The 7,341-nt window shown below is 34.5% G+C and overlaps 1 annotated feature.

Annotated features, from left to right (window-relative positions):
- Nucleotides 1,559-2,060: an enhancer, noted in NCBI's record as "NANOG hESC enhancer chr5:91181280-91181781 (GRCh37/hg19 assembly coordinates)". NCBI's record gives its function as "activates a minimal SCP1, AML or CMV promoter by ChIP-STARR-seq in naive H9 embryonic stem cells {active_cell/tissue: H9 hESC(naive)}" and the evidence as "EXISTENCE:reporter gene assay evidence [ECO:0000049][PMID:30033119]".

The raw sequence follows: 7,341 nt of genomic DNA, 5'->3' as shown, positions 1-7,341 counted from the left end.
GTCAGCTCTGTGAGAAATGCTCTACACTAGGCCTTTCAGATCTTATTAAAATTGGCAGCTACCCTCACGTTTTGTTCTCTGATAGGAGACAGTGAGCTAAGTAGGATGTACTAATTCCTACTGATGTATAGAGAGACAAAAGCATTATCTGTCTCAAGGGACATTTGTAACTTAATATTATTTTTCTTTCTAAAGGCAGTTCTTTAGACTCAGGTAGAGGAGATATTTTGGGTAGTAGGAGTACGATCTCATGGTATGAGTGAATTTATGTCAAACAGTGGTCAGCTTCTCTGTCTAAACATAGGACAAAAGATGAAATCAGGAATTTACAGGAACATACACTTACCTGAAAGTTTTTCTTAGTTTCTGTCTAAGATCCTATGATTCTCACCTACTATTACAGCAACAAGTTTCCTAGAGCATATTCCTCAAGTGTTCCTAGAGTGCAGAAATAATACTAATTTTCTAATCACCAATAAAATTCATTAGCTAATGTTTTCCCTCAAAAGTCTCAATCAACATTTTACTCCAGCACTTTCAATATGTAGATTCAATAAAATAGTCTAAAAGGGTAGGCACTGTACTTAAACAGTGTGTTATAAAATCTGTTCTGGCCTTATGAAAAATGCATGTTGTATTCATACAGAAGTAAAGAGGCTGCAGGATTACCGCAGCCAGAGTGGCCAGCTTTCTTCCTACTTCTAAGTAATAGATTTGAATTTTGTTTTGTTTGTGACCATTAAAATGTTTCCATAAACTATCCATCGCATATGCTGTTGATTAAAATAATTGAGCCACAGACACATTGGACACAAAAACAGTATTGCCTTTGAAGTTTGTTAACAAGTGGAAGATGTCAGTCTTTGCAAGTATGGGACTTTATAGATCAGTTTAATAAATTTCTAAATCCTTTATGACTCAAGTGATTAGGCATTAGAGCTAATTACTCTTAAGTATTGTTTTTCTTTAAGGCTTACTTTCTACTTTTTCTCATTCAACTGAAACAATTAGATTCGCCAAGAGAAATGGGTAATGTCTTTTCAAATCATATTTCCCATAACACTTAGTTTCCTACAGCAAATCATTAAATAGTCAACAGATGCATTTAGTTTTTAGTCTCTATACAACTTCATGCAATTATTTTGAAGGGCAAAGTGGCGGGTTTTGTTTTTTTTTTTTTTTTGTCTTTTACTATCAAATATCTTCACTTGCCCCCAATTAGACAGACAGGTTATTAAAGCAATTGCTTTACTTGTGTGCAACTTACATCTACTTTCTGTTTCAACATACCAAGAGTCAATATCAAATGCCATAAAAGGTCTTGGAGTCAGTAAGAAAAGACATTTGAAGTTCACTTAGGAAACAAGGAAATGACTGATCGTTGATCTATGCAATGAAGGAACCATTCCTGTTAATAAGGGTGAGCACCCAACAATTATATCACCTAGGAAACTACATGCTCCAGGGTTGACAAATTATTGGGAATCCCCCTCCCCCAACTGCCTTTTGTTTTATCTCTGAAATATAAAGCAAGTATACTTTAGTGACATGATTTTTTTTTTCTGGCACCTTTCCATAGCCAATTCCATTCATGCAGAAAAAGGATGAAATTCCATCATTCGAGCATGACATCTCAAAATTCAAACTTAATGAGAGCTTTGGCAGCTTCTGTCGAAGGCAGACAGTGATTAACAAAACACTTCAGAGTACAAGGCACAGCAGTGCTCAAAGAAAACAGTGATGATCTCCACTTAATTGTAGAAAAGCCCAAAGCATCTGCCAGCCGAGGAGAGCTGGAGCCATAAGGAGCTATTGCTCAGATAGGCTGTCATCTCCAGAGATCAACAACCATATGCTCAGCTCAAGCACAAACTCCAAAGAAGTTAATTTTCTGACAAAATACAGGGATAAATATGACATTCAAACAAGTGTGCTCACTCATCCTGAACACACGTTCATCTGCACGCATCAGATTTATGCATCGTTTAAACACAAGCAAATATAATTTGTTTGGAACACAAACATTGTTGCATGAGTACAGGTATAATTAATCTTTGTCTGCTCCACAGGTTCTTGTGTTCTACCGGTTAACCATGCATTCAACAAACTTTTGATGAATGGAGAAGTCACTTGTTGCTTCATACCTAAACATATACCACATTCTTTCAAGATTCTGAAATTAATGCAACTTATTTAATTCAAGATGAAAAAATAACTTATTTTACCTATGAATTGAAGTTTGTGTGTGTGTGAGTGTGTGTGTAAATTTAAAATCATCTCTCTATATCAACAGATCTATCTATCTGTCTAATTTACCTCTGAATGCAAACATAGGATCTTGGCAAAACCTACCTTGGACATAGCCTAGCAAACACAAGGAAAGATGTCCAGCTAAAAAGCAGATGCATCTCAGGAAAAAGTTACCAGAAAGTTGCTTGTTAGTACCTGTGGTCATGGGATAGTAAGCAGAATATGAGTATTGAATATAAAGTCTACAAAAATAAAAAAAAATAAGAGTTTACATTCTAAAAAATGTGATTAAAGAACAGAAGGAGAAACCCCATGTATTTCCATAATTTAGAGGTGGAGATTCCTCTTATATTACCTCCTCCAAAAATGCAACATCTAGCATCAGATGGATTAGAGTCGGCAGACTATCAACTGTGTATGTCTTGAAAGCAGGTGTTTGATTTAGCATTTGCACACTAGTCAAACAGTAGTTAAGTTTTTAGAGGTGAATAACAACGATCCTCATAAAAACTAAAGAAAACATCTGCTAGCAAACACAGTGATTCAGTAGCAAACCTAATTTCTGCTTTAAAAAAAAAAAAATTCTAATGCCCTTTCCAAAAAACAATGAGATTTCGCCTTTGTTTTTCTCTTCGGCTTTTTCCAAGATTACACATTGAAGCTAAGCATTCATTTATTTCTAATTACAGTCACTCTATGATGAAAACTATAATATCACTATTGTCTTTTCTATGTATAACATTTGTTAGAGTTTCGGTTAACTTACTGTCTTCTCATTTTGTATTTTTGATGTTATTGTGTGTTTATCATTTAAAATTTTTTTTAAAAAATTCTCCAATTATAGAAGTAGTTTATGTTTATAATAAAGAATTTGTAACATGTGGGCAGGTGCAAAGAGAAAAGTTCAAATCATCCATAAAGCCACGATCAGCAAAAATTAAAACCAAAGAAAACAGTTAATTCTGATAAATTTCTTCCATATATGCACATAATACTCATAATGTTAAACTCACATTAAAATATAAATTTAACTTTCTGTTACCTCTCCCTATATTGTAGTCTATATATTGAGGATTTGCTGTATCATCATATAGTATTTGAAAACATTTTCAAATTGCTACTGAATATTTCACTGTATAGAAATACCACACTCATTTTAATTATTCCCCATTTGGAGTTTTTATATTTTGCTTTTCATTATAAATAAAATTATAATGAAATTCATTATAAAATTATTCTTTAAAAAATTATTTTAACTGAAGTTTCTGGACAAATTGATCAGATTATTTTAAGACTCATCATATGTGTTACAAATTTTTAAGACTGCTAATGACAATTATATTTTTACTGGCTGTATTTTATTACCATTAAATGACATCTTCATCGATTTTTTTATTAAGCCATGTTCTAGATTATTATATCAGAGATTTGTGGTTCAAGGAATAAAACCAAATATCACAAAACTGATTAAAAAACTTCCAAAGTAAGGTGATTTGAGCAGAAAAGAATATTCACAAATCAATTTAAATAGAAAGCTATGAGAATATTCATAATTTTACTTTAGAATTGAAATACAAATTTTGAATGAAAATGTACACTTTATAAATGATACTACAGTAAATAAGTAAAACATTTATAAATGAACAAAAACAATAAAAGTAATGCAAAACACTTCAGAGGCAATCTAGTATAAGGAATATCTTGACCCATGTGTATAGTTTATCCTCCAGATCAAAGAGTTTATGTTGACTTGAGATTTTTATAGACTCATGTTCATCTTCTAGCATGGATATATGCTCTTTTGAATAACTTTGCTTGAACATTCTGAACCTTAACTATTGTAGTGCTTTTCCTGCATCTTTTCTGTCAAACTTCATAAAAATAAGTGGTCTGAATCCCACTGCTTCTATTATATTTCCTCACTGCCTTCATCCCACTTAGCTAATTTGACTTCCAACTCCACAGTCCCACTGAAAATACTCTTTTATACATGCTATTAATTTGTCTTTCTAACTGTCTTTGGATTACTTCTTGAATTATTTCTCTGTTTGGATTTCCTCCTTCTTGAAACTCCTTTCTAATGTGTCAAGCACATTCTCCCCTGTTCCTTTGCCCCTCTTTTTCCTTCTTCTGAGAATATTCTTTCCTTTTTCTCTACATCCAAATTGCTTTGTTTGTTTTTAACAGCAAAACCAACACCTGCTCTTTGGAGCAAACATGATTCCAACTCCAAAGAATTCATAGCACAAATTTTGGTATTGATAACATATCACCTATTAATACTGGTTTACGAACATGTCATTCCTCTCAGAATTAAGTATATAAACTGCCTCAAGGAAGAATGCCCAAGAGTCTCATATTCATGCATTTTGGTATATTAATTTTCCTTTTCAAAGTAACCATTATCATTGGCTCAACCCAAATATCTTCTAAGGACTAGATAACTGGAGTATCTCTCACAGTCTATAATGAAAAGTATCTCCTCGGCAGTCATTCCCAGTCCTTTATGTGTCATATGATATTTGTCCTACCATTCTGACATTACCTTGAGAATTCTCCTGTAAAATCTTCAACTTTAAAATAGTTAACATTGTATCTGCTATGTAGCAAATAATGAATACATTGGTAATGCATCCTCTTTTTTGTTTGAGTCCTCAGTATTTACTACTCCATTTTCTGTGGAAAAAATGCCTTGTACTGTTGGTCTCCAAATATCTGACTTATCTTCCTGTTTGTGGGAATCTCTTCCAGCATTGTGTTGTACAGTCAGTTCTGTTATAGTGGTACATATACATTTCTAAAAGTCACCGTATTAGCAAAAGCATACAACAAAGTCACTAGACTAGGCTTATGGGAAAAAATGGGTCCAGGAGCACAACTTAATCGGTGACACATCTTTAAAAAATAGAAAACTGACAAAAACAGTAGCTTAGTTTTACAAATGTCAAATTGTGAAGAAATGCACAAAAACTACAATAAATGTGGCACTTTATCTCACACCTGAAGCTTGCTTATGGGTGAGTGATAACAAGGATACAGCTTGTGAGTTTTTGTGTAGTGGTAGGAGGGTTATCTGAAACCTGATGGAATGTTGAAACAGCAGACAAGAAGATCATCACTTCAGTTTTCTCTAGAATTTTCTAGCAAAATCATGTCTTCTTCTGCAACAGTACTGTTCATTTTAAAAATAACTCAGCCTTTTTACCCTTCACTGTGAGACACACATAACTTGTTCAGTGTCGTTTGAAGCCGTGAATTCAGATGTACCGACATCCCTTGATTGTCAAATGAAAGTTTTACATATTGTAAAGGGCAGAAGTGTACGAATGTAAAAGTAAGTTGCGGGAAAAGCTGACTTACCTTTTCAGCATGACAATCCCTGTCGCGCTTCTGTTTATCTATCAATCCACATTTACAGACTCCCAAGGAGTTCCCTATGATAATTTGAGGAGAAAAAATTGAATTTGGTTTACAGGTGACTTTGTACCATATGCTGGCTCCAGCCAGAGTGAACCCTCAGCACAGTCTCTGAAGGATAAAGAAAATCTTCTGTTGGGTGATACTTTGTATGGCACATCTCATTGCCCACTTTTCCTGGAAGGAGATATAGTCATAAGAGAAGTAAACCTTTATCCAACAGCTACACAGTAGCTGAAATTTGGTCAGGTCATCAGGGATTCAAAATATTTGAGGATTAATGACAAGCTGTTTTAGGCAAAATGTGTCTGGGTGGAGCTCTTGGCATATTCTCAACATGGGAGGGTATTTGTGTCCCACAGAACAATGTTTGCTTGCCACTACTGTGGAAGAGGCTCTCAATAATCAGGCAGACAAGAAACTTCTCTGTGAATGGTTTCAGCTTCTTTTTCACAGTAACCCCCTAGGTCAGTATGTTCACAATGGACTTTCAAAATGCTGCTATAGCATAGATAAAGAATATATATAAGCCCAGTGAAATGGACTCTCTTTCACCCAAACTGATCTGGCTACTTCCACTGCTAAGTGTCAAGGTGTTAGCATGATAGACCAATTTGAAACTCTCAAATTTTGCCATAAATCACTAGACTCAATCGTCCATTTTCCTATTACACGAAACTCTTTCCATCATGGGGAGATCAGAGATTTGACTCACTAAAAAAAAAACAAAAAACCTTTTCTGTATTTGGATTTTTCTTATCTACCTATGTGTCTACCATGTGTCTGCCAGCAAAATAATCTAATTTCTGACTCGATGTCTCATTCATCAGCATCAAGGAATTTGCTTCATAATTAAGAAAGTTATGTAAAATACTGATGCCTTTAAATTTTAGTTTCTTACTGTAACCATTACCCTGAAACAGCAAAGTTTCTAGAATCGAACGATGGTCTATTAACCAATATGATGTTAGTAGATAGACAATGGCTTGGGCCATTGGAGAGCTGTGATACATAATGAAGTGTCTGTTCTAAACCAGCAACAGTATACAGAAAGAAAGAGTTGCCATTTATGGAGATGAGAAAGATTGCAGAAGGAGGAAGTATAATAGGGAGATTCAGGATTTCTGTTTTGACTTTGAAGTTCACATTTGATATCAATGTGAAGACTTCAGAGAAAGAAATCTGGAAAGGATGTATTCATTTGTGTCATCATCAAATAGATGGTATTTAAAGCTGGGAGACTAAATGAACTCACTCAGGCAGGGAAAGTTGACAAAAATGAAAAGTTCAGTGATCTTGTGGCTCTCTGGAATTAGCCAAGGAGACTAAAAGGAGCAACAAGTAAGCAAGTCAACAGAGGTGACAGTGTCTCAGAATTTAATGGAAGAAAGTGTTTCAAGAAAGAAAGGGTAATCACTCATGTCAAAAATGCTGCTGTGAAGTCAAATAGGAAGAGAACTGTAATGCAATCATTACATTTTGCCACATGGAGGTTACTGTTGCTATGCCAATTGTTTAAGGGAATGGATACCAATGAAAGCCTGGTTAGAACTGGTGCAAAGGAGTTTTGCAGGAAAATTCTTGATAGCAAGTACATATGCCACTGCTAAGTATATACCCAAAAGAAAGAAATCAGTATCTTGAGGAGATAACTGCACTCCCACGTGTCTTGCA

This window comes from Homo sapiens, chromosome 5, assembly GCF_000001405.40.
Source record: "Homo sapiens chromosome 5, GRCh38.p14 Primary Assembly".
NCBI lineage: Eukaryota > Metazoa > Chordata > Mammalia > Primates > Hominidae > Homo > Homo sapiens.
Note: the sequence above shows the minus strand (reverse complement) of the source record. Positions and strands in the feature narration are given on the sequence as shown.